A 27,790-nucleotide genomic window follows, 5' to 3' on the forward strand; every position below is an offset into this window, starting at 1 on the left:
TCTGATGTTTTCTGTGGAGGAAACACTATCTTCATTTTACTTGAAAATAAACAAATCTGTTCTCTCATCCATAAATAAACAATATCTTGATCTTCCAGGGCTATCCACTATATAAAGATCTTTAAAAAGGAAAACCTGTAATAAATGTGAAACTAGTGCCTTTCTATTTGCAAGATGCACAGAAATGCATGAGACCAATTGAAAATTGCCTGTGAACAAACACGCTTCCAGATTTTTAGCTTGCTCTTTTCTAAACATGAAAATTCTCAGAAAGTACGTGTTCTCAAAATTCATGCCATTTCTTTTTTCCCAAGTTCCTTTATCACGACCATCTTATTTTTCACATTACCAAATGATGCACTTCCCTAAACTATCCAAAATTTTCCATGGTGTTATAGTTTCTAAGGTACTGAGAAGAAACTCATAGGTGAAGCATATTTATAAATTGTTTACAACATAATATTGAATACATATTTTCTCCTTTTCCCTGTCACTAGTAACTTTTTCTCTGCTTGATTAATTCATATCACATATTTAATAGCCCAATTTATTCAGAACATACTGAGAGGTGAAGCCAGCTGGACTTCCTAGGTGGAGTGGGGACTTGGAGAACTTTTTTGTCTAGCAAGAGGATTGTAAAATGCACCAATCAGCGCTCTGTAAAACGCACCAATCAGCAGGATCCTAAAAGTAGCCAATTGCAGGGAGGATTGAAAAAAAGGGCACTCTGGTAGGACAAAAATGGAACATGGGAGGGGCCAATACGTGAATAAAAGCTGGCCACCCCAGCCAGCAGCAGCAACCTGCTGGTGTCACCTTCCATGCTGTGGGAGCTTTCTCCTTTTGCTCTTCACAATAAACCTTGCTACCGCTCACTCGTTGGGTCCACACGATCTTTAAGATCTGTAACATGGGAAAGGTCCGTGACTCCATTCTTGAAGTCAGCGAGACCACGAACCCACCAAACCCACCGGCAGGAACCAACTCCGGACATAATACCACATGGCAAGCTCTGTTCTAAGCATTGATGTGTACAGGTTATTTACTCCTCATAAGAACACTGAAAGATAATTGCCACTTACTGGCTCCTTCTTAAGATGAGTAAGCTAGAGACAGATACTCATGATTTGCTCAAGACTTCAGAACTTGTCTGTGGCAGAGCAGAGATGAGAATTAAATTTGCTAGCCACCATTTCTTGGAATTTAAACACATTGTTATGCCACCTCTTAGTATATGTAATTAATGACATGCAGTTCACAGAATTATGTTATTTAAATTATATTGGACAGAAATAAAAAAGTACGGTTGACACTTGAACAACATGAGCTTGAGCTGTGTGCATCCCTTATATAGAGATTATTTTAATTAAAAAAATCAGCATCTGCATTGAAATGTGGATCAAAATACAGTAGCCACAGGATGAAAAACCCGCAGATATGGAGGACTGACTTTTTGTATACTCTGGTTCCACAGGATTACTTGAATATGTGCTGATTTTGGTATCCTCTGGGGTCCTGGACCCTGTCTCTTGAGGATATCAAGGGACCACTGTATTTTTACTTAAAATGACAAGAGTAGAGAATATATGCAGATATATCCCGAGGAACATCTTTTAGGTATATGCTTTTCTATTTTAATTCCTCTTAAAAAAACACACACATCTTAGAACTTACAATGTATTGATACAAAAATATGGCCATTATTTATGTAGGAAAAGTTTATATACTCCTCCGGAGGGTAGGAAATGAGATTGCAGTGCACATGGGGTTCTGCCACTCACAGTGTAGGATGTTTCACCATGTCTTCCTGAAATGATTTGCAAATAGTCAAGAACAAATGACTGTGGTGATAGAGATGTATTTATTGCTGCCACCTTGTTCCCACTTCACCGTTGCATATTTGTACACAGGACACATATTTATTCTTTTAAGTTTAGATTTTACTGAGAAATGAGGACCTTATCTGGACTTCACTGGGAGAATTATGAGTGGCCAGAGATACTACATTTTGAGCTGGATGCCAGACCTTGAAAGAACTCTGCATTTTTCATTTTGAGAGAAGTCGGTGTGTTTTATAATGGGAGGAAGATTAAAGCAGGTATTTTGGCATCAGAAGGACTGACCTTGACAGAGATTGGTGAGATAACATTATTTCTTTCTTTGGACCACAAGGAAATGCTGTATTTTTCAGCCTCAATTGCAGGTAGGATGAGACCATTTCACTGGTGAATGAAATGTAGGTAGAAGTTATATTTCCCACTTTTAGACTGAGCTATAAGATACCTCACGCAATGCTTCTCATACTCCTCTTTATATTAAATGCAGAGGATTCAGTGAAAACCTTTAAGGAATTTCAGAAAGTTAATCCTCTACAGAATTATTATATGAATGAGAAGAAAAAAAATTGTGTTAAGTCACAGATATTTGCAGTTTGGTTCAGAAACTAATATTAATTGCCCTGACTAATACACTGAGATACTAGTGATGATTCTGCAATGACTGCTTTTACAGTGAAAGTGACCACAGTAGCATGCATGGATAAATTTAAGGTGATAAACATTAGGATTGCTTACATATTTTTTGGCTTCTTCATGCACATGGTAGGATATAGCTCACTGCCCTGTTTAATTCAGTTATGGAATGTGATTTCCTTTTGCTTATTGAAATGTTAGTAGACTAAAGTGTCTGTTTCCTTCTAGAGGCAAAAATTCAGAGCGTGCCTCACAACATTCTTTTTTTCCTTGACTACAGTAACTTTCAGTGTTCTGGAGTGGCTGCTTTGTCCTCTAGATCCTGGTATAAAGGTGACAATGACCCATGAGTAGAATCATAAGCAACACCAAGGACATGTGAAATGAGCAACTTATGAATGAATTGATATAGGCTCCTGACATTTAGAAATTGTTTTGTTATCACTCAGCTTAGTTTTTCTGATGTAATTTAATTGCTCTAAGGAAACAGTATCTGCTGTGATTTGTTACTGTCTCTTACTGCCCAGTGGTTGGCAAGGCCAAAAGTTCTAGACGCGGCAGTATTCTGAGAGTTGAGAGCCAATATATTTTCTTGGCAGTGCTCATGCTCATGGTGCACTTGAAGCTGTGTCGATGCTGCCATAGGAACACCACAAGCCAACCTTGTTTCTTCCATGGTTGCACTCTTTATGTATTCAATTACAGACCTCAGGTGTGTCTGACATGAAACAAACATACGCAGGCATCATGACGGTAATCAACTGATTGCTTCAATGTGCTGGTCTTTGTAGGTCTTGAGAGTATCAACCTGGAAAAACAAGCTTTTAACTTTAATAATTTCAGCAAGTTAATATAAAGGGAAGTTCCACATATAGGTCTGGATCAAGTTTTTCTATGAAGTAGTTGCCAATTAGAAAAGTTTCCTAAACAATTAACCCTAGCAAAAAATTGTGTAAAGATTCCATTCACTTATTACACAAAACAGTATATTTTATGAGTGCTACCTTCTACTTTGGCCATTAGATAAAAGGTCTCTTCACCTTTCTTTTGTCGTGTTTTGCTTAAATATTTGGGCATATAGCTATAACCCATCATTCCCTTTTGAAAACAAAGAATAATAACCAAAGTAATATAATCTAAACCTGCTTTAAAGTCCGAGTGTAGTTTATGTTATATGTTCCTGTAATTATTTGTCATCTGTGGCTCAAATCCCTTTTACTAAAATACTTTGCACTTCACCATAAACAAACTTGTGCAAACAAACAAGACACAGAAGCGATATAAAACTCCCAAAATCAAGTTACTAAGTTTCAGTAACAAATAAACCTGAATGTGTAATTAAATAGATTATAATAATGCTGAAAATTCTGTATTTTAGGTTCTTTATGATCTAGAGTTCTTCACATGTATTTAGTAAACCATTCCAAGTGCTATATTTCTTGCTAATAAAACCAAATAACAATGTTCAGGGTAAATTTTAATGAATTAATGCTTATAATGCAAACTATGCTTTCATCAATTTTATTCAGAAGCACACGATTAATTATACAACAGATATTTTATATGATTGCTCAGAGTAAAGACTATTTTTATTTGCTTGAATGACAACATAATTTATTAAATGAATAAATACACGGATTCGTCTTCTCCATCACCATTTTAGGCATGTTTTTGTGACATATACCTTCTTCACCATGAACTCCTTCCTAACCAACCATTATATCTAAAATAAATTATCAGCAAACATAAATATTGTGCTATTCCATAACTACCTCACATGAGCTAGATGATGGGAGGCATAATTCATAATAAGCAGACCCTACCTTTAAATTCTATAAAGCCACAGCATTTAAATTATAACTATGCCACACAGCAGTAACCTATTTTCCTATTAATTATATCCCATAAAAGCAATATACCTTCACTAATTAATTATACTTGAAGTAACAACTATGGCTTAATTAAATGAACCATTCCTAATAATGAAACCTTAAAATAATTGGACTCTTCTGTCTAGAGGCAGTAACAATTATTGTCATTGGAAAGGATTTCAAACATGGCTATGCTAAGCAACACTGATTCATAACTGACATTGAACCTGAGATTTCCTAGAGCAGTAGCTCTCAAAACCTTTCGTGAAGGGCCAACTATTAAGTATTTTAGAATGTATGTGCCATGTGATCTCTGTCACAAGTACCAGTATTTGCCATCATAGTGCATAAGTAGCCGTAAACAATATGTAAAATAAAAGGATGTCACTTTATTCTAATAAAACTTTGTTTACCAAAATGCATCAGTGGCCTGATTAGCTCTGTGCTTTGTAGTTTGATGACCTCTTATGTAGAATCGAATTATTGAACTCATCTCTACTATGTTTCCAGATTTGCTAGTATTGTATTCTAGGTTTCTATCTTTCTCATCTATCCATCTTAATGGTTAAGTTTTACAAACCCTTATCATATATAATATTATTTAAATTATATTAATCTGCATTTAACACACATCTTTCTCTATTTTGTAATTTAGCATTTTTGAGCCACTAAAGTTTAAATTACAGTAGAGATGTAGACATTATGTAAAGGTATATTACTTTGTTGTATATGTTCATAAAAGACAATAATGGCCACATTGAAATGACACAATATGATCCACCAAAAGTGAGTAAGGCAGAGATTGTGTACATAAGTAACCAAGTACAAGTTCTGTCCTTCAAGTGAACCCCTACATCATTATTATTCCCTTATGGTGGAAATTCCAGAAGTAGATAGCACATAAATTTTACATCTTCTTATCTGATATATGGATAACTTTTTTATCAAGTATTCCTTTTTTTTTTTTTTCTTTTTTCTGAGATGGAATCTCGCTCTGTCACCCAGGCTGGAGTGCAGTGCTGCGATCTCGGCTCACTGCAAGCTCTGCCTCCTGGGTTCACACCATTCTCCTGCCTCAGCCTCCTCCCGACTAGCTGGCACTACAGGTGCCCATCACCACGCCTGACTAACTTTTCCCTATTTTTAGTAGAGACGGGGTTTCACCCTGTTAGCCAGAATGGTCTCGATCTCCTGACTTCATAACCGCCCACCTTGGCCGCCCAAAGTGCTGGGATTAGAGGCGTGAGCCACCGCGCCCAGCCCATATGCCTTCTTTCATTCATGGTTTACTAATTATAATATTCTATTTATGTAATTGAGAATTCCTTATTCCGTTTTTCTTTCTCATTTTCTTTCATCCCAATCATTTTCAGTCAAAATGTGTATATATATATGTGTGTGTGTATATATATGTGTGTATATATGTGTGTATATATGTGTGTATATATGTGTGTATATATGTGTATATATATGTGTGTGTATATATATGTGTATATATATGTGTGTATATATGTGTATATATATGTGTATATATATGTGTGTATATATATGTGTATATATATGTGTGTATATATATGTGTATATATATGTGTGTATATATATATGTGGATATATATGTGTGTATATATATATAGATGGGAAAGAAATACACAGCAATCTAGGAAGCATTGTGAAAAAATGGTGTGAACGTATGCATCAAAAAGTAATATTACAATTTTATTCAGTATCCCATCCAAACTTTTCTCCTGCAGGGCTTTCATGCTTGCTATTGTCAAATCTTCTCCCTTCTGCATAACTTTCATTTATCTTCTCTATTATTGCTATTGTCACATAAATGTGCTTTTATTTATCACATTAGAAAAATAGTCATTCTCCTCAGTCTACATGTCTCACAAATATAGAACTACTTTTTTTTTCTTCTTTAGAGCAAACTTTCTCAAAAGTATTCAGAAAAGTACAATGTGTAAAACAAGCAGCAAGAGAGGACATCTGTGTTAGGCTGAATAATGGTCTCAAGAGATGTCAGGTCTTAATCCTTAGTACCTGTAAATGTAACCTTTATGTCAAAGAGACTTGCAGATGTGAGTAAGTGAAGAATTTTGTGATGGAAGATTATCATGAATTATCTTGGTGGGCTCTAAATGCAATCTTAAGTGTCCTTATAAGAGTGATGGAGAGGGAGATTTGACATAGAATCTAGGTTGTGTGATCATGAAAGTGGAGAAATATTTGAAAATTATATGCTGCTATCTTTGAAGATAGAAGAAGGGGACTTTGAGACGAGAAATGTAGTTCTAGAAGCTGCGTTTCTGGAATAATTTCTAGAATTACTCTCCCCTGAGTTCTCTGGAAAAAATAGGGTGCTGATCACACCTTGGTTTTAGACCACTGATACTGATTATGAATTTTTGGCCTTCAGAACTATAAGAGAAAAAGTCTGTGTTGCTTTAAGCTACCCATTTTGTGGCAATTTGTTACAGCAGCATAGGAAAATAACAGAGAATCTCTTCTTGTTCCCAGGTTTAAAAGCAAGTCTTCTAACATTCCCACATTATTATGTCATAAGATATTGTTTATAGGATTTCAAAAGATACACTTTATCAACTTAATGAAGTGCCTTTTAAATCCTAGTTTAATAAGAGCATATATATATACAGTAAATTAATGATGAATTTTATCAAATACTTCTTTGTATCAATATCTGTTAGGATACAGATCTTATGTATCTGCATCTACTGAAATTATGTGATTTTTCTCATTTACTCTGTGAATGTGATGAATAATCTTTTTAATTGAATCTCAATTATAGAGAATTGAATTAATCATCATTTTGATTAATGACATACTTTCATCTTATGCCTATTCATGGTCACCTTTTATATGTAGGTAATTAAATAATAACTTTTACAGGGTTGGAAGTAACCAGCATATAGCACCCTGCATAAAAGCTAAAACCTGAAGAATGACCACATTTAGCCATATAGTTTCTCACTCCCATCTCATCCTCTATAATTACCAGTGTTTGAACCACAACCTCTTTCTTCTCTAAACCACTAGCTGAAATCTAAACTCAGCACTCCAACCTCCCATTTATTGATTTCTGCTAGGCTTCTTGACGTCTCACCTTGTGCATACATATCTTTGATACTGGCCACACTTAAGGGGCATTTGTATGCAGATATTCAGGCTCTCTCTCTGTGGTTACTTCCTTCTTGGAAATTTGTCTCGTGAGCCCCATACACACTAGATACTCTGAACTCTAATCTCTGTCACCTCAACACAGTAAAATTTCACTTTCTGTGTATGCTTTCTTTCTTCACATCAGTATTTGGGAAATGTTATTAGAGGAAAAATGTCTGAGTGAATGTAATTTATAGTCTATAATTATTTCTTTTTAATAATAATCCCACTCAAGCTCTGTATACATTGATTTTTCTCCAGTGTCTTCCAACAGTTGTCTAACATATTTTGCCCAGCTTTTATAGCCAACTTCAGGGTGTGAGTTTGTGCTACTTTATCATGGCCTGAACCTGAAATCCTCTAATTTTATTGAAATGGATGGTTATTATAGTTCATGTTGCATTTCTTGTGTTTCCAATACGTTTTTAGATTTTCTATTTCTCCACAATTCTGGAATTAAGAATCCATTTGTTTCATTCTAATCTAGTTTCTTATACATAATGCTAAAGGGAGTGTTGTTTCAATGACTGTCAATAACTTCTACATGGGCACCATTCACATTTCCCAAAGTCTCAGCAGCATTTCAAATTGTTGAAAATTTCTTCCTCTTCAAAACATTATTCATTATAGAGTTCTTTAAAAATATGCCAACCTTGCTTTTCTTCTTGCCACCTCAGCTTTTTATTCCCAACTCAATTGCAACACATTTTTTTTTCAGCTCATTTGGCGTTAATTTCTATTGTCTGTTTCAACCCTTCCTTGGTGATTTAACAATAAAAATAAATAATTCCTTTAAAAGGCTCATAAGTGTCGGTAACTCCCATAGCTTTACTTTTACCTGTGACTATTCTTCAACCTTCAGACTTAGACAGAAATTTGTTTAATTACCATCTTGCATTTCTCTCATGCCAAACGTCCACATGACTGATAGTCCTGTTATTTCTTTCTTCAAAGTATATATCAAATGCATTCACTCTTTCCATTGCCATTGCTACTATTACTGTTTTAGTCAATTCTGACTGCTATCACAAAGACCTATAGACTAGGTGGCTTAGAAATAACAAAAATCAATTTTTTCACAGTTCTAAAGGCTAGAAGTCTGAGACCATGGTACCAGAGTGACCAGGTTTCAGTGATATCTCTCTTCTAAGTTGCAGACTACCATTTTCTTCTTGTATCCTCACATGTCAGAGAGTGAGAGAACTCTCTTGGGTCTATTATATAGGGGAACTAGTTCCATTTAGAAGGGCTCCAACCTCATGATGTAACCACCTCCTGAAAGTCCCACCTCCTAATACCATCATATTAAGGGTTAGGATTTCCACCTATAAGTTTCAGAGACAGGGTGGCAACAGCCATGCAGTCCATTGCAATCACTATCCAAAACATCACCGTCATCATTATCTCCATTCCTTTTTTTTTATTATTATTATACTTTATGTTTTAGGGTACATGTGCACAATGTACAGGTTAGTTACATATGTATACATGTGCCATGCTGGTGTGCTGCACCCATTAACTCATCAATTAGCATTAGGTGTATCTCCTAAAGCTATCCCTCCCCCCTCCCCCCACCCCACAACAGTCCCCAGAGTGTGATGTTCCCCTTCCTGTGTCCATGTGTTCTCATTGTTCAGTTCCCACCTATAAGTGAGAATATGCGGTGTTTGGTTTTTTGTTCTTGCGATAGTTTACTGAGAATGATGATTTCCAATTTCATCCACGTCCCTACAAAGGACATGAACTCATCATTTTTTATGGCTGCATAGTATTCCATGGTGTATATGTGCCACATTTTCTTAATCCAGTCTATCATTGTTGGACATTTGGGTTGGTTCCAAGTCTTTGCTATTGTGAATAGTGCCGCAATAAACATACGTGTGCATGTGTCTTCATAGCAGCATGATTTATAGTTCTTTGGGTATATACCCAGTAATGGGATGGCTGGGTCAAATGGTATTTCTAGTTCTAGATCCCTGAGGAATCGCCACACTGACTTCCACAATGGTTGAACTAGTTTACAGTCCCACCAGCAGTGTAAAAGTGTCCCTATTTCTCCACATCCTCTCCAGCACCTGTTGTTTCCTGACTTTTTAATGATTGCCATTCTAACTGGTGTGAGATGGTATCTCATTGTGGTTTTGATTTGCATTTCTCTGATGGCCAGTGATGGTGAACATTTTTTCATGTGTTTTTTGGCTGCATAAATGTCTTCTTTTGAGAAGTGTCTGTTCATATCCTTTGCCCACTTTTTGATGGGGTTGTTTGTTTTTTTCTTGTAAATTTGTTTGAGTTCACTGTAGATTCTGGATATTGGCCCTTTGACAGATGAGTAGGTTGCGAAAATTTTCTCCCATTCTGTAGGTTGCCTGTTCACTCTGATGGTAGTTTCTTTTGCTGTGCAGAAGCTCCTTAGTTTAATTAGATCCCATTTGTCAATTTTGGATTTTGTTGCCATTGCTTTTGGTGTTTTACACATGAAGTCCTTGCCCATGCCTATGTCCTGAATGGTAATGCCTAGGTTTTCTTCTAGGGTTTTTATGGTTTTAGGTCTAATGTTTAAGTCTTTAATCCATCTTGATTTAATTTTTGTATAAGGTGTAAGGAAGAGATTCAGTTTCAGCTCTCTACATATGGCTAGCCAGTTTTCCCAGTACCATTTATTAAATAGGGAATCCTTTCCCCAATGCTTGTTTTTCTCAGGTTTGTCAAAGATCAGATAGTTGTAGATATGTGGCGTTATTTCTGAAGTCTCTGTTCTGTTCCATTGATCTATATGTCTGTTTTGGTACCAGTACCATGCTGTTTTGGTTACTGTAGCCTTGTAGTATAGTTTGAAGTCAGGTAGTGTGATGCCTCCAGCTTTGTTCTTTTGGCTTAGGATTGACTTGGCAATGCGGGCTCTTTTTTGGTTTCATATGAACTTTAAAGTAGTTTTTTCCAATTCTGTGAAGAAAGTCATTGGTAGCTTGATGGGGATGGCATTGAATCTGTAAATTACCTTGGGCAGTATGGCCATTTTCACGATATTGATTCTTCCTACCCATGAGCATGGAATGTTCTTCCATTTGTTTGTATCCTCTTTTATTTCATTGAGCAGTGGTTTGTAGTTCTCCTTGAAGAGGTCCTTCACATCCCTTGTAAGTTGGATTCCTGGGTATTTTATTCTCTTTGAAGCAATTGTGAACGGGAGTTCACTCATGATTTGGCTCTCTGTCTGTCTGTTATTGGTGTATAAGAATGCTTGTGATTTTTGTACATTGATTTTGTATCCTGAGACTTTGCTGAAGTTGCTTATCAGCTTAAGGAGATTTTGGGCTGAGACAATGGGGTTTTCTAGATATACAATCATGTCGTCTGCAAACAGGGACAATTTGACTTCCTCTTTTCCTAATTGAATACCCTTTATTTCCTTCCCCTGCCTAATTACCCTGGCCAGAACTTCCAATGCTATGTTGAATATGAGTGGTGAGAGAGGGCATCCCTGTCTTGTGCCAGTTTTCAAAGGGAATGCTTCCAGTTTTTGCCCATTCAGTATGATATCATTATCTCCATTCTATATTTGGATAATAGTCTCTGACTTTGTCTTCTTGCATTTATTCTTTTCCCCTAAAGTGATTCTTCAAAGAGTAATGTCAAAGAGAACCAGAGCCAGAGGGTAATTAAAGCAGTAAAGAAAGATTTTATTCAGAAATTATTACAACACAGGAAAAGAGACTTTAGTAGAGAAATGAGCTCAATTCCAAATACAAGCACACATGGAAATTTATAGCAAAAGAGCAGTGTGAAGGGGTCAGTGGATGGAAAATTATTAAGAGGAGACGTCAAAAGTAGGGGAACTCTTGCTAAACCAAATTAACAGGATTCTTGCTGAAGGCAGCTCAGGGTGATCAGATATCAAGATTCTCTCTATATGGACTTAAGGATTCTTGTTAAAAGTGAGCTATGGAGACTAGGCAAGGGGCCTAGGTGAAGATCTAGTTGAGAGGAGAGCTCAAAAATCTGACTAAAGTTTGGTGAAGGAGAGAGTCTTTGTCAGTATTTGTGTTAATTTTTTTTAATTACTAAAAGTGAGGCTTATTTGCATTCTTCAAGGACTTACCAATTAATAAGCTATGTTAAAATCTCCAGTTTTAATGTCTATTTCTTCTTTCAACTTCTGTTATTTCTGCTTTATGAAAATTGTAATTTTGTGTATGTTATTAATATATATTTTATTTTTAATGTAGAATGAAGCATGAATCCTTCTGTAGAATAAATTTCCCTTCCTTATCCTGTTAAATTTATTTTGTCTTAAATTCTATCTTGTCTCAATAGCAAAATTCTGACAACTATTTCAGGATCTTGCTATCATACAAGATCTATCTTTGCTCTTCCTTTTACATTAAACCATTCTGAATTGCCTTGTTCAATATGTTTCTTGCACACAGAATAGATTGGATTCTGCTCCATTAGCCAATCTAAAAGTACGCCATTTAATGGTGAGTTAAGCCCATTTGTGTCTTTGATATACCTGTTATGCTGGTGTTAAGTTCTGTTATATAAGTTTTTGCTATATAAATAATTTATATAAAATCTTGCCCTGTATTTACACTTTAATTTGAGGCGCGGGATATACTCATCTGGTATTTATAAATGTTTCTATGTTTATTCTTATTATTATCTTATAATAATATTATAATAAAATATACTAGTCCTCTAGTGTGTTTGAATACTATCTATTGTTTTCTTCAATGAGTAGTAATACTGTTCTCTAGTAAACTCTCTTTCCTTTCTTCTCTCTTTTTGCTTAACATTTATTTACTTTAATTCCATATTTTTTAATGGCAGTTAGATACTCCCGAGATAGTCATTAAGATTCGTCTACTTTCTTTTTCTTCTCCTTTTTTCTGTTTGTTGTTGAGTTGCATTATTTCTTCATGTTTAACACACTTAATAGCATCATGTTTTGTCACTTTAATCCCCATTACTTGCTCTTAATTATAAAATTAAACATATTTAGTCCTTATCCAGAAGCTTCACATGATGTTTGTCTTCTTGTCAGTAGGTAGGACATTTCTAAAAAAGCCATCACAGGAACAATGTTTTTTAAAATCATAAATATTCATGAAGTTCTACATTCCTTAGACATGATTCATAGTTTGCATGAATAAAATCTCATCTCGCTACTGTGTTATCTGTTTCATAATCATTAAACCATTTCTTGATTATCATCCTGTATAAAATGTTGCTATCAAGAAGTCTATTATCAATATAAACTTCTTATCCTTTTACCTTCATGCTCAAATAATTAATATTATTTTTTATTTTAATTTTTGTTCTTAGAAATAACCATTACATGGGTATTACTATTCTTTGCCTAAGTTTTATGTTTAGAAAATTTTTAGATATTTTTAATCTCTCAATTTCTGTTTTTTACTCTTATTTTTATACTCTATATCTCTTACTATAGTTTGTACCACTTCTATTTGATTTTATGTACCTTCAAATTATTTTTTTCTAAAAATTATTTTCTAAAATTTATCTTACTTGTCTCAGATTATCTGATTCTCTGATTAATTTTGATTTTGTTCCAATTGTTTTTCTTCAGGGTAAGTATTTTTCTTTTGCGAGTGAGCATTATTGATGATTTCTTGTTGTAGTTTATTGATATTAAGATCTTACAATACTTCCTTTTATCTTCATTTTATCTTTGCCATTAACTCCAGCTGGTACTGGCCCTATGCTGCCAATGATTAGGACAATTACTCTTGTATTCTGGGTTTCATGCTGATTATTTGTCACCTGTTTTAGTTGGTGATGTCACCCATGGGTTTTTCAGTTACTTCTCCTAACTCCTCTGCCTGGTGTTTGGTACAGATCCAGACATAAATGAAAGAAAAGGAGATAGATAGATGGATAGATAGATGATAGATAGATAGATAGGATAGATTAGATAGATAAATAGATAGATAGATACATATTTACATATGAACTTACATACCATAGTTTGCTGCTGAGAGTCTCTCCAGTTTATTTTATTTAATATTCTCATAATCTAGAAGCTATTCTCTACAATGATAAAATAATCCAACTCTCAGGCAATACTGAGCAAAATACAACGTAACTAATATCTCAACATACTTGACCCTATATTTTATATGAAAATAAATGAGGTCAGGCGCAAAGGCTCATGCCTATAATCCCAGCACTTTGGGAGGCCGAGGCGGGTGGATCACTTGAGGTCAGGTGTTCGAGACTAGCCTGACCGACATGGTGAAATCCCGTGTCTACTAAAAAAAACCACAAAAATTAGCCAGGCGTGTTGGTGCATGCCTGTAAGCCCAGCTGCTTGGCAGGCTGAGGCAGGAGAATTGCTTGAACCTGGGAGGTGGAGGTTGCAGTGAGTTGGGATCATGCCATTGCACTCCAACTTGGGCAACAAGAGCAAAAAATCTCTGAAAAAAAAAGAGTAAAACACTGGTTGCTCTCTGTTTTAGTAATATGTTATTTATTAGGTAAATGTGATACATATTAAGTAAAGTGGGATTTTTCTTAGAGAAGATATTTATCTCTATTGAGGTAGCAAAATAAATATGTATAGATTGAATGAATTTGTCTCCCTTTAGGTTTAAATAAGAAATGGGTGTGTGTGTTTTCTTGGCCTATTCCTATTTTTCCTGGCTTATTCATATTCTAATTCCTCTTGTTTATATAATTATTCACTTTGATCACCTCATATATCTTATCTTTTTCGGGTGGCCTAAAAGCAAAAATATTCTTACAGTCTAGTCAGCATTTGCTGTGCTTCTTATTATTGTACTTGTTTAGCACAAACTTGATGCTGATTCTACTTCTCATTCTTCATGACAAAACAAGTGGAAAAAATATCTGGGAATTGGCTCTATGACATGGCTAAATAACACTAATATGGGTCTTGTGCTCTTAATCTATAAAATGGGAATAATAAAAATAGCAAGTCTGTAATCACTGCTATGTGAAAACCCCGAGTTTTATGAGTGCTTCTGGGAATACCTAGTAAAGAAAACATATCTGTGTGCTTTATCTTTTAATAGTTAAAAACAGTTTTGACAATAAGTAGTTTATATTTATTAGTTATTATAATACATATAATTGTAAATAGTTTATAGGTATTAGTTATTATAATATACATGTACATATAACACATTCATATAAACTATAAGTAGTTTATGCATATTAGTAATTATAATATACCTATTATAATAACTAAGAATAGAAAAGCAATGTAGAAACTAAGAGTTATATAATACCCATAGTAATTAATCAATAAGCAAATACTATTTTTAGTATTTTTATACTATTTGTATATGTATTCATTACTTTATGTATATAATTCTTTATATAATTCTTAGGTTCTATAATACCTTTATTCTGTATATTTTGAATTATGTATTTAATAGCCTAATATATTTCTAATTTGCAGAAAACAAGGAAAATTGTCTTCCTTCAATTATTATAAGTATGCATTTCTTTATCCAGGGAGGCTAAAAGGCAAGATCATAACAAGCTATTATATGGAAAATTAGTTCTTCAAAATATTCCTTTTAAAATTGAGGCAACAGAATCATTTTTCCCTCTCATTGTATGTTTAACTTAAAATTGTTTCAACAACAATATGTAGATTGCCAGTTCAAGTTCTCAGGTGTAACAAGACTCACATTTCTTTGTTATACAATATAATATAAATATAAAGTAAAACATTATATTAAAATGAAAGTTTTATAATATTTAGACATTAATATCTCAGCCTTTCATTAGCATATTATTTGAAGAAAGGCATTCACTTTTTCACAGGTTACTTCCTTGCTCCTGAAAATGACGATGTTCTATTTTCTACTATTTTTGTCTAAAAATTTAAACAGGTTAGTATATCCTCTGCATAAATGCTACAAAATACAATGCACAATAATTTTGTTAAAATTACTAAATGTTAGTAAAATATTTGATTAGTTTTCCTAATAATTGTTTCCTTATTTTTCATATCTATATATGCAGTCATTCTAAAGTTAAGGACTACTCTCTTGATAATGGAGAAATCTTTCAACACACAAAAACAAAATTTTTATTGTCTTTTAAATAGGTCCTGAGAAGAGGATTAGAAAAAGGCAACACATCAAAAAGTTAAGAGGCAGAAATAGCTTTTATGTTGCTGGTAAATTTAATGAGATCTTAAGTTTTTCGACTGGCAAGTCTCATCTCTTTGAGCATCTCAGTGAAGACTGTCAGAAATCATCAAAATTCAACACAACAGAGTAAAAGCTAATAGCATTTTTGTTATACCAAAACTGAAAGGATTGGTAAGACTCAAAATGAATGCTATTACTGAAAATCTTCTTTTATCTAATTCTTTGTGCAGTGAGTGAAAATTGAACAAATACATATCCTTTTTATGGTGTTAAAATGAATTCTGACACTATTAAACAAATATTCTTTGGTCCTAAGACCTCCTCAATACTTCTTTCACAAGCAGTATTATTAGAATATCCTATGTGACTCTAGTTCAAAATATTCTGGCTACCATTTGATTATTTTCTGTGAAATAAAAATGCAGCACTGCATTTTTTTAAAAATACTGTGTTTTGATGAAGAAGGAAGTTTTTGAGTGGTTATCACATTAGAGAAATTTTTATTGTAATCAACCTTTGATAATTTCTGACATGATTAATATTTATCTTCTTTTCTAGATGTTCTTAAGTATCAAAAAGCAATAAAGATAAAATACAGGACATCAAATATATCACATACATTCATATATCTCAAGAAATGAAAGCAATGAAAGAGCTGTGATATGATCCATATTTTTTGTTTATTGACAACTAATGCAAAATTCCAAACAATAATGAAGCAACTACAGATTGGGGAAAATAGTAAATCAGAAAGAGCAATTGAGAGAGCCTTTTTAGAAAAAAGTTTTCTCCTTTGGAATTATGTTACATTTTGAGTAATTATTATGATATTCAACCATTAATTTATACATTTGTTTTTAATTTAACATATATTTTGAGTACTAAATATATCAGGCACTATTATAGGTGCTTGTGTTAATTAACAACCAGTTTTCTAGAATGTGTAAAGTGCCATAGAAAATACCTCTTGGGTTCTATGCTCACTACCTGGATGATGGGTTCAGTCATACCCAAACCTCAGCATCATGCAGTATACTCTGTAACAAACACTCACATATATCCTCAAATCTAAAAGTTGAAATTAAAAAAAAAAATAAAAAGCAAATAATTATATTAAGTATATTAACTAAAACAAAACTGATTCCGTTTTAGAAAAAGAATTTAGAAATGAGGGGGAGTGGAGACTAGAATAACACTTATGGTGTTCAATCAGAATCAAAACTATCAATATATACTTAAGTTTACTTTTTTTCTACATTAGATAGAAATTGAAAAGAATGTGTAGATATATAAATAGACCTAGACGCACGTTTGTGTGTGAATGTGTATATATATATATATATATATATATATATATTTTTTTTTTTTTTGAGATGGAGTCTTTCTCTGTTGCCCAGCTTGGAGTGCAGTGGCCCGATCTCGGCTCACTGCAAGCTCTGCCTCCTGGATTCATGCCATTCTCCTGCCTCAGTCTCCCAAGTAGCTGGGACTACAGGCACCTGCCACCACGCCCAGCTAATTTTTTTGTATTTTTAATAGAGACGGGGTTTCACCGTGTTAGCCAGGATGGTCTTGATCTTCTGACCTCATAATCCGCCCATCTCAGCCTTCCAAAGTGCTGGGATTACAGGTGTGAGCCATAGCGCCCGGCTGAATGTGTGTATATTTCTTAATTTTAACCACTAAGACTAGAAGCAATAACATTTTAATAGCAATCAGCACATCTAGCATTCAAATCTTGGATTCACTTTTTTCTTCTTTAAAAGGATACAGAGCTCCTTGGATCAATGCCTGATTCTAGGTGCATGCGGCAGAAAGAACAAAATGGGTCTGAGACATCTGTTGTTGTTAAGAAAATAAGGAAGTCTCAACTAATGATTGAGACATGCCAAAGAACATAGGAGCTAACTAGAAGTGGCTCTCAGTGACCCAAACTGAGATAAATTGAACAAGGGAATAAATAATGATGGCAATAGATTATTCAGATTAATTAAACCAAATACACATGAATCCACACTAATATAAATAAATAATTGGATAAATAAGAAAAGTGGGACAAAGGAAAGCTTTTCCATACAGTAGAATTCTAATCAATAAATATAGAAAGAATAGTGGAAATAGATTCTCATTTCTTGGCAAATACCACATAATTGTTGCAGACAAGTCTGCTAAAATTAGTGGATACAATTATGAGAAACAAGATATTTACATAATCTCCAAGTATCTCTCAACAAAATACTGATTTTAAAAATGGTAACTTTGAAGTGGAGAAATGTGGCAGACAATGTCTTATTCAAGTGATCAGAGTTAACGTCAACAATATTAGGACACAATAATATCATGTGCCTCCTGATATGATGCACTGAGAAGGACAACCTCGGCATTGTGGCATTCTTGCCAAAATATATTATGTGAATTTAACCATGAAGAAATATTAGAAAAAAATCAAACTTCAAAATAATCTACAAAAAACAAGTATCAAGGGCATGAAAGACAAAAAGAAAAGCTGAATTTTCTTTTTTAACTTTTTTTTTTTTTTGAGATGGAGTCTTGCACTGTTGCCAAGGCTGGAGTGCAGAGGCGTGATCTCTGCTCACTGAAAGCTCCGCCGCCTGGGTTCACGCCATTTTCCTGCCTCAGCCTCCCAAGTAGCTGGGACTACAGGTGCCCGCCACCACGCCAGCTAATTTTTTGTATTTTTAGTAGAGACGGGGTTTCACCGTTTTAGCTAGGATGGTCTCCATCTCCTGTTCTCATGATCCGCCCGCCTCGGCCTCCCAAAGTGCTGGGATTACAGGCATGAGCCTCCGCACCCGAATAAAGAAAACTAAAGAAATGTAGCAGATAAATGCAATATGTGACCCTGATTTTGATCCTAGTTAAAAAACATTAGTGGAACCATGAACAAAATATGTAAATAAGGTCTGTAGGTAAGTAACTAATTCTGTATCAATTTCCTAATGTGAGTAACTGTACTCTTAGATATGGTGTTAGCAGTCAAGAAGCTGGGTGAAGAATATATAGGAATTCTTGATTTTTTTAAATATATTTTTGTAAGCTTTAAAGTAGTTCAAAATGAAAATTTTAAAATAAAATGAATAAAAAAGAAAAAGGATAGGATGGATCTTCTGAAGTATTGTGCTAAATATGAAATTCATGGTCCATCCCTGAGGTCTTTTATATTACAGTGTTTAAGATATAAAATAAATGTAAAGAAAACCAAAGAATGATCAATAGTGATGAAAGTTATCACTATTTCTGGATAAACCATGTTCTACGATAGCACATAACTGGTGATAGCTTGGAGTCATGCGAAGACCTCTCCAAGAAAATGAAATGTAAAGTGATGACTTAAATATGGAAAAGGAACCATTTGATTAAAAAGCCAAACTATGAAGCTTCAAAGACAGGATGTTACCTTGTGCAAAACCCTGACTTGGGGAAAAACTGTGTTTCAAGAGTGGAAAGAGCCCTGTCTCATTAGGAGTGAGGGTCTTGAATGGTGCCTGTGGTTGTAGACAGCAGAGCAGAGCTTTAGCATCCTGGAGATTTGTAATTGTACTCCACAAGTAACTAAAGGATTTAAGGCAGAGGAGGGAAAGAATCTTGCTTACATTACAAAAAATAAAAAAGAAAAAGAAGAAATAAAAAAATAGAAAAAAATGTAATATATATTATTATTATTACATTGGTTTATAGTAATTGGTTTATATCTAATTTGTTTCCCTGTGTTTATAATACATATATATCTCTGCCTCTTAAACCAAGAATAATTTTTACAGGGACAAGAATAAACACAAGGAAATGAATTAGAAAACTATTAAAGTGAAAGGACAAGAAGGTGGAGACCTTGTTCAAAATAATGAAATACATATTTAATATATGTGCAAGTTTGAAGAAAAGAGCTACTGATAGGGTTTTGGTGTATTAGATAAGATAAAATCAATGGGAACACCAGCTGAAGTAAACAAACAAGCATACACACACAAACTGGGAAGCAGAGAAAATAACAAAACTCTACTTAAAACATTATGAATTTCAGTTGTCTATAAAACAATCCACATTTGATATTAAGTAAGTAGATGACTATGCAAAGCTCTAACTCAGAGAAGATACCAAAATTGGAAATATTCTGAGATGCTATCATGTAACTGGCCTTTAAACTCATGAAAATGCTTGAGAACACTCAGGGGAAAAAGTGAGTAAGTAGAGAAAAAAGAAAGTACTCAGCTAAGTGGGTTGAAGACAGTACAGGAAATATTGAAGGAGACTGTCTATTGTTTGATTGATTTCTTTCAAAGAAAGAATACAAAGTAAGTTGATAACTGAAGGACAACGGTAGGTCAATGTAAACTTTTAACAAAAAGGGAATTATTCATTAATGAGAATGATAATACTAAAATGAGAGGGAGAGCTAAGGGACAGAATTTACTTAATATTGGGAGATCTCATCAATTTAGCATAAGACATGTGGTAACTTTGTAGAAGGTTATTGTTATGAATGCTGTGGGAGTGAATGCATTGGGAAACTAAAATAGAATGTTTGGCACTGTTGAGTATCCTTTTAAGTTTTGTAATGAATTGAAATCATGTTATTAGTTACAACGTAGATGAGCCTGGAGGACATTATGTTAAGTGAAATAAGACAGGCACAGAGAGAGAAAAACCACATGTTCTCACTTATATGTGGGAGCTAAAAATGGGCTTATAAAAGTAACAAGTAGAATTGTAGTTATCAGAGGCTGGAAAGGATGGGAATAAGAAGAGGATGGAAAGAGGTTGGTAAGCAAAGTTAACTTTGTAACAAAGTTGTAGCTAGAAGGGAGGAATAGCTCTAGCGTTCTGTAGCACTGCAGGGTGAATTAAGTTAACAATAATTTAGTGAATTTTTTTAAAAACCTACCAGATAGAATTCTGAATATTCACATCACAAGGAAATGACAAATGTACAAGGTGATAGTATGCTAATTACTCTGATTAGAATATTTCATATTGTATACATGTATCAAAATATCACTCTGTATCCCATAAATACGTATAATTATGTGCCAACTAAAAACAAAAGAAAAAATAGAATTCAAAATATAATCAATGTTCAACAAAAGCTTATTAAATTAAGACAAAGAAGCTATTGAAAATCATTTTTAATTCTGAATTTAAATTAAAATAATCTAGCTTAATTATGTCATTTCCCCCCAGAATTCTTATGCTTTTTGGATGCTAGCCCATTAAAAAAAGGACAAAATTTGGAATCATATTGTTTACTCTAATAACCTAGTCTAAATCACGATTCTAGAGAGAAGTGGTAAAGACTCAAATTGTTATTATATTAGAAACTTAGCCTTCTGAAGGCAATATTAGGGAAAAAGAACTCTAGGCCACAATGAGAATGAGAGTAGTTTAAACAGGAAAAGGAAGAATCAGAGAGATTATTGAAAATGCCATCAACTAAGCATAATTCAAACAGAAAACAACATATATATATATATATATTTTTTTTTTTCACCTAGGATTAGTAAATCAAGAAAATTGTATTACAATTTTATTGGATGGTGAGTTCTATAATACACTAAGTATAAAAAAAGAAGTAAAAGACTTGACATATACCATAATAAAATATTTAATAAGAACATATCTAGTAAGTACATAGAAATATATAAATAAAAACAGCTTTATTCAATAAGTATTTGTGACTATTATATATCTTATCTCATTTATCTTCACATTATTTTTGTAGGATAAATATTACTAATTTGATGTGTTGGTTGCAAAAAGGGTAATGTCACTAAAAGAAGTCAGATAGCCTGATTAAGGTTTTACATTCATTCATTGTGACAAATATATAATGAGAACACAATTTCTCTTATTATATCAAACTACCTGCTAAACAGCAAAAGGAGTTTGATGATTTAATTACATATACTTTATCTTAATTCCCAAAGTGTATTAATATGGAAGGGCATTCTTTGTTGGTACTTGATGAGGTAAGAATTAAGAATTTAAAACTTATTGGTATAAACATATACCTAATTTAAATCATTTAAGTTATGATATATTAAGCTAACACATGCTTGAATTTGTTACTACTTTTGAAAATTTCTGTGTCTCCCCACACCTTCCTCATTCCACTTCGCTAGTTATTATGTTTCTTTTTTAATTTATGAAGATGGAATATAATGCCCAATTCATAATACTGTTTTTCAGGTACAAAGTTGGCATAGACAATACTGAAATACATGTGATGACATTTACAGTAGCAATTCAAATTAAAAGAGAAAAGCATCTTTCTAAACCATCTTCAAGTAAACACTTGCCATTTATTTCTACTAGCAAATATTTCTATGTATCCTAAAAATTAAAAGTGATATACATTGAGTAAGACTTTACAGTCCTCAGAATACTATAATGGAAAAATATGTATTTGATATGTTTTCCTGCCATTTCGCTATCTAGAAAATGTCCTAATTCTTAAAAAAGATCATTAGCTAGCCACTGAAATCTCAGGGGGAAAAGCTGTTAAAACTGACAGCTACATTTTATAACACTACACATATAGACAACTCAGAGTTTAAATACATTGGATTTGTAATCTCTCTGTTATTTAGAAGAGGTGCTGTATAGGTGAAGGACTCATTTTGTGAACCTTTCTTACTATATCAGCTAATTTATTCTTAGAACATTTCTAGAGAAAGAAAAACAGCAAGAGATCATCAGAGAATAAAAAAAGTATTATAAAAATGAGTTAAAATCATTTAAAGTAGCAGTTTATTTTTCAGAAAAGAATTTTAAGCCTCTACATATTTATGAACAAGAATGGAAACTCTTGAACAACAGTCATGAAAATTTAAAATACAGATCTGATAAAAAATTCCTCTGCCTGTTTTATCAAATGTGTTTGGATTGGAAATAAATGGGGAGTTTGTTTCATAGCTCCCCTGGGTTGGAGGTAAAAAGTTTCTATTCCTTAGGAAATGGAATAAAATAAATTGGTTAAAAGAAGTTTTGAGATTCATTCGTCCATAGCATTCTAAAATAGGAATTAGCTTAGAAAGGTCATCAACGACCAAAATTATCTGAGTTTGGTGGAGATAAAAAAGCAAGACTGAAAGTTATATTTTTTTTCAAGCAATGTTTGAATGGATAAAGTACAGAAGGAGAAAAATGGTTGCATTTCTATGCATTGAAAATGCTTATTTGGTTTTCTTTTAAGCTTGTTGTTTCAAATGGCCCACTTAAATTTACTGACTCTATACCAAATAAATTAATCTCACTTTTCACACTGCTATCCCTCTAGTTTCTTGCCTCAATTTATTCCAGAATGACATTCTACATTTATTCAATAAGTACTCAGAGGGATGTGTTATGTGCATGGCATTCAACTAACCATTAGTTGGACAAGACAAACTAAGTAAAGGATATCTTTCCTGCCTTCTTAAGGTTTGCAGTTTAATTATCTTGATTTCGAGCCTCATTCTCTTACATTTTCACTAATTTTCCATATTTTTTCTAAGTCTCTGAGAAGTTTTGATAGTGAATTCCATCACCTTTATATTAGCTAAGCTCTCATTGGCTTTCTAACTCAATTTATCACATGGATATTGACTTTCAACCATGTTTTCTTTTTTCTTTTTTTTTTTTTTTCTTTTGAGATGAGTTTTGCTCTTGTTGCCTAGGCTGGAGTGCAATGGCGTGATCTCGGCTCACTGCAACCTCTGCCTCCAGGGTTCAAGCGATTCTCCTTACTCAGCCTCCCAAATAGCTGGGATTACAGGTGTGCACTACCATACCCAGCTAATTTTGTAATTTTAGTAGAGACCGCGTTTCTCCATGTTGGTCAGGCTGGTATTGAACTCCTGATCTCGTAGTCCCCCCGCCTCGGCCTCTCAAAGTGCTAGGATTACAGATGAGAGACACCGTGCCTGGCCTCAACCATGTTTTCAATTCTGAAAACAACTAAGAAGTATATGACCGTTCTTACCTTCAAATAAATACAATTTTAGTCTAAATGATAAAACGACTCTATATAGGTAAATTCATCATAAGTTAGGAAGTGCAAGTGGAATGAAAAGTTGAAAAAAATGGCATAGTACGTGAGTATGAAAGGATACAGAATTAAAACCCATCTAGAAGATTCAGTAAAATATATGGCTTCCTTTTTATCCAAATAATTTTAGAAACTTTCCCTCCAACTTCCACACTTCTATGGCATTCAATTCCCATCTTTATTTTATTTCGTCTTATATTTTGTTTTACCTTCTGTCTTTACTTTCCCTTCTTGTTGAAGTAATTATTTCCTAGAAACATAGATCTTCATAAGGTTTATTACTGATTTAACATCTAAAGTTATCATATGAGCTAGATTATGTTATCTAGCAATTTATCAATTGCAAAAATTTCACCCAATTGTAATTTAGAAAAAGTGTCAAACCCCCTAATAAGTTGCAAGAATAACAAAACTAATATTCAAATACATGCAACTCAATCCATAATCCATGTTTGTGTGTGTGTGTAAAGTTTTTTTTTTTTTTGAGACTGAGTTTCGCTCTTGTTGCCCAGGCTGGAGTGCAATGGTGCAATCTCGGCTCACTGTAACCTCCGCCTCCCAGGTTCAAGTGATTCTCCTGCCTCAGCCTCCCGAGTAGCTGAGATTACAGGCATGCGCCACCACACCCAGCTAATTTTGTATTTTTAGTAGAGACTGGGTTTCTCCACATTGGTCAGGCTGGTCTTGAACTCCCGACCTCAGGTGATCTGCCCGCCTCAGCCTCCCAAAGTGCTGGGATTACAGGTGTGAGCCACCGCCCCAGCTAAATTTTTTAACTTATTCAAAAATCAGTTGTATACATCACTATAATTCACAGGGATAAGCAAATTATTTCTATAAAGAGCAATATAACAAATATTTTAGGAGTGTGTGTCTGTAAACTTTTGAGCTTATTCAAAAAGTAGTTGCAAACATTATTATGAGTCACAGTGTCAGCAAAGTATTTATTTCTATAAAGGGTAAGACAGTAAATATTTTAGGCTTTGGGAACATTGTAGAAGTTTCTGTCACAACTGCTAAACCCTGTTGTAACAAGAAAGTAGACAAAATGCAAACAAATGGCTGTGGTTACAATATTATCAACTTTATTCATAGACACAAATGTTAAATTTTGTTAATTTTGTTTTACGAACTATTATTCTGTTGATATTTTTGTATTATTCAAAAAATATAAAAACATTCTTAGCTGCAGGTTGTACAAAAACAGGCAATAGGACAGGTTCAGTGTATGGGCTGAAGTCTGCTAAACCCTGTGGTTCAACTATAAATATTACAGTATATAGCTGCTAATAGCAAGAGCAATGTCCTATTTATACACAAGAAAATTATCACAGGTGGAAATTATATTAAATACATTTTAATCATGCAAATTATACAGGAATGTAGTACTTTTGAAAAAATCAAACGATTACCAGTAAATCTATTGTGTGTTGGTTCATCCCCAGAAGGCCATTATTATCAGTGTGGTTTGCGTATTTCCAGACATTTTCCAAAGCAATCACATAAGTTTATTTTAAAAATGTATTCTCACATATTTTACTGATAAACCATTTAAAAGTAAATGTGCAAACAATAGTTCTGCAATTCATTCATTCTCTTTAATAAGAAACATGCTGGAGACAAAGAAGGCAGGTTTTTTGGTAACCATATAACTGGCTAACCTCTTGGCAAACAAACTAAGAAGTTTCCAGGAAGGAATATCTTACCTACAGAATGCTTTTAGAAGAATGCATGTGCTGTGATTTCTTTTCTAGGGTTGTTTATAATAAAACCTAAATCTCTTTGACTCATGGGGCGTAGTTTCCTGGACCATCTAAAGACAAAATGAGATATTTTGTGATCTAAATATCTCCTCTGTGTAAGTGAGATGACCGCACATCTTACTCAGAATCATCATCTATTATCCTTGTTCAAAGCATACCTGATGTGGGATTCTCACAGTGCTATCTGACCTTACCTTGCTCCACCTGTACCTCACAATAATTTTTATCCATAAAATTATTAGTTAAGTTTGCATAAGATCTCCGATGCATGTGAGTCTGATTTGATAATCTAATACTTTGTGTATTTTTAACCACAATAATGTGTTTTTATTTTTCAATTTAATATGTATTGGAAATCTTAGTGATTCAACACACGTTAATCTTTATCATTTCTTTAACTCTTAGATATGTCATATTTACTTAGCCATTTCTCTATTGGTGGACATTTAATCTATTTAATGGGCTTTTGACTATTTTTAAAAAGCTGTAATTGACATCCTATTGCATTTTATTGCACATATGTTAGTATTTCATAAGACAGATGATGAGTTAAGGAAAATTGTGCTTATAAGTTATTCACGTTGTAAAATTTAATAGATATCAAAAATTTTCATCTAAAGTGGTCTTAAATTACAGATGTCAATTTGATATTATTAAACTTTGAATTATTTTGCTAAACCCATGGATTGAAAGTATAATTTTATGAAATCTTAGGTACCACAGGAAGAAGTATAAATTGATACAACTGATTTGAAAAAAAGTTAGTCTGTGATTAAATAAGTATCCACATATGTTTGCTCCTAAAATTCCTTGGATAGTTATATGTTGTAGATAAACTTATGCATATAATTCTGAGAGCATATGTCCAAGTATTTTCATATTGACTTTGCTCCTAAGCAACCAAACTTTAAAATAACACAAATGTATATAAGGAATAAAATAGAAAATTCTCATCTATATAAACAATCAAATATTATAGAGCAGTGAAAATAAATAAATTACAACTGCTTGCAACAACAGGGCTGTCACTCATAAACATATGTTGAACAAAAGGAGTGTGGCACAAAATAATACAGAAAGAGGATTTCATAGTAATTATCAAAGCAGGCCAAAAAACACTAAGGTATGTTGTTCAGAGATGCATACATGCTATACCTTTTTGAAGCACAGCAAAAAAATTATACATAAAACTTAGGGTGAGAGGAGCTTCTTTTAGGAAGGGACACTTGGGGGAGTCTGGGGCGCTAATATAGTCTAATTCCTGGCCTAGTTTGGTTTACATGGGTTAGCTTTACAATCTGAATACGTTTAAGCTTTACAGATGTCTTTGATTCATGCTTTTGCATCTCAAAATAAAAGGTTCTATTGTTTAAGTTTAATTTGTTTTACTTGATTATTGAAAAATTTAATTATTTTTAAAATTTTAATTAAATTAGTTTAAATAAATAATTAAGGTCTTTAGAACTAATCTCTTGATTCTTCCAGTAAGTACCTATTTTTACATTTTCCCACTTTTCTATTGAAATATTTTTATTTTTCTAAATTATTTATAGATTTGCTTTCATATACATAGTTTACATATTTTCTCATAGTAAAAAATATGTAGTAAAACTATTTTGCTAGAAGTGAAGACTTTAAATTTAAGTTAGCCAAATTAATCAATTTTTTTCAAGGGTATTGATTTTTTAGTCTTGCTTAAAAAGGCAAAATGGAGGCATACATTAGGTAAATATATTGAGAATGGGAATTTGAATCAGAAAGAAAAGGCAACGATCAGTTGGAAGTATCTGAATACATATTGCCTAATGGGCATGTCCTCTCTCTGACAAAAAGCCTGATCTGACTGCAAATGAGGCAAATTGTGGCCTGTAGCAGCATGAACCTCCTTCTCCACCAAAGGATTGCTCAGTAATAACAGTCTAGCAGAAACTCACCTTGAAAAAAAAATGTAGACAACATGAAAAAAAGAAAGAAAGGAAGAAAATCAACAGTCATTCGGAGAAGTGCCATCATTGTAAGTGCATAGGGTAAGATTAAAATAACATAAAGCAAATGAAAGATGTATCAAATACAAAAGAAAGACAGCAGAGAGCAATAAAAAGAGTACTTCCAAATAAGTAGAATTAATATTCTCAGGGGAATGCCAGAAGTTACTGCATCCATTAATAAAGAAGAGGAAAGCTAAAAATGAGATCATTGAAGTAATGATGAATATATAATCTCTCAATAAATAATGACGAATTGCATATATAGTAAAAAGAAGGCTGAAATATTTTTAAGCATACGCTTGCATACTAAAATAAATGAGGTCAAA

The 27,790-nt window shown here is 33.4% G+C and overlaps 2 long non-coding RNA genes across 2 annotated transcripts in view; both read left to right on the forward strand.

Annotated features, from left to right (window-relative positions):
- LOC124900272 (uncharacterized) overlaps positions 1-27,552 on the forward strand; it is a 90,204-nt gene extending 62,652 nt beyond the window's left edge. Inside the window, exon 2 of the long non-coding RNA XR_007061513.1 lies at positions 1-27,552. This exon is cut by the window's left edge and continues 15,727 nt beyond it. This is a non-coding gene — a long non-coding RNA (uncharacterized LOC124900272).
- Positions 1-27,790, forward strand: part of LOC107984035 (uncharacterized) — a 123,240-nt gene that overhangs the window by 61,715 nt on the left and 33,735 nt on the right. The gene's annotated exons all lie outside the window — the stretch shown is intronic.

This window comes from Homo sapiens, chromosome 9, assembly GCF_000001405.40.
Source record: "Homo sapiens chromosome 9, GRCh38.p14 Primary Assembly".
Lineage (NCBI taxonomy): Eukaryota > Metazoa > Chordata > Mammalia > Primates > Hominidae > Homo > Homo sapiens.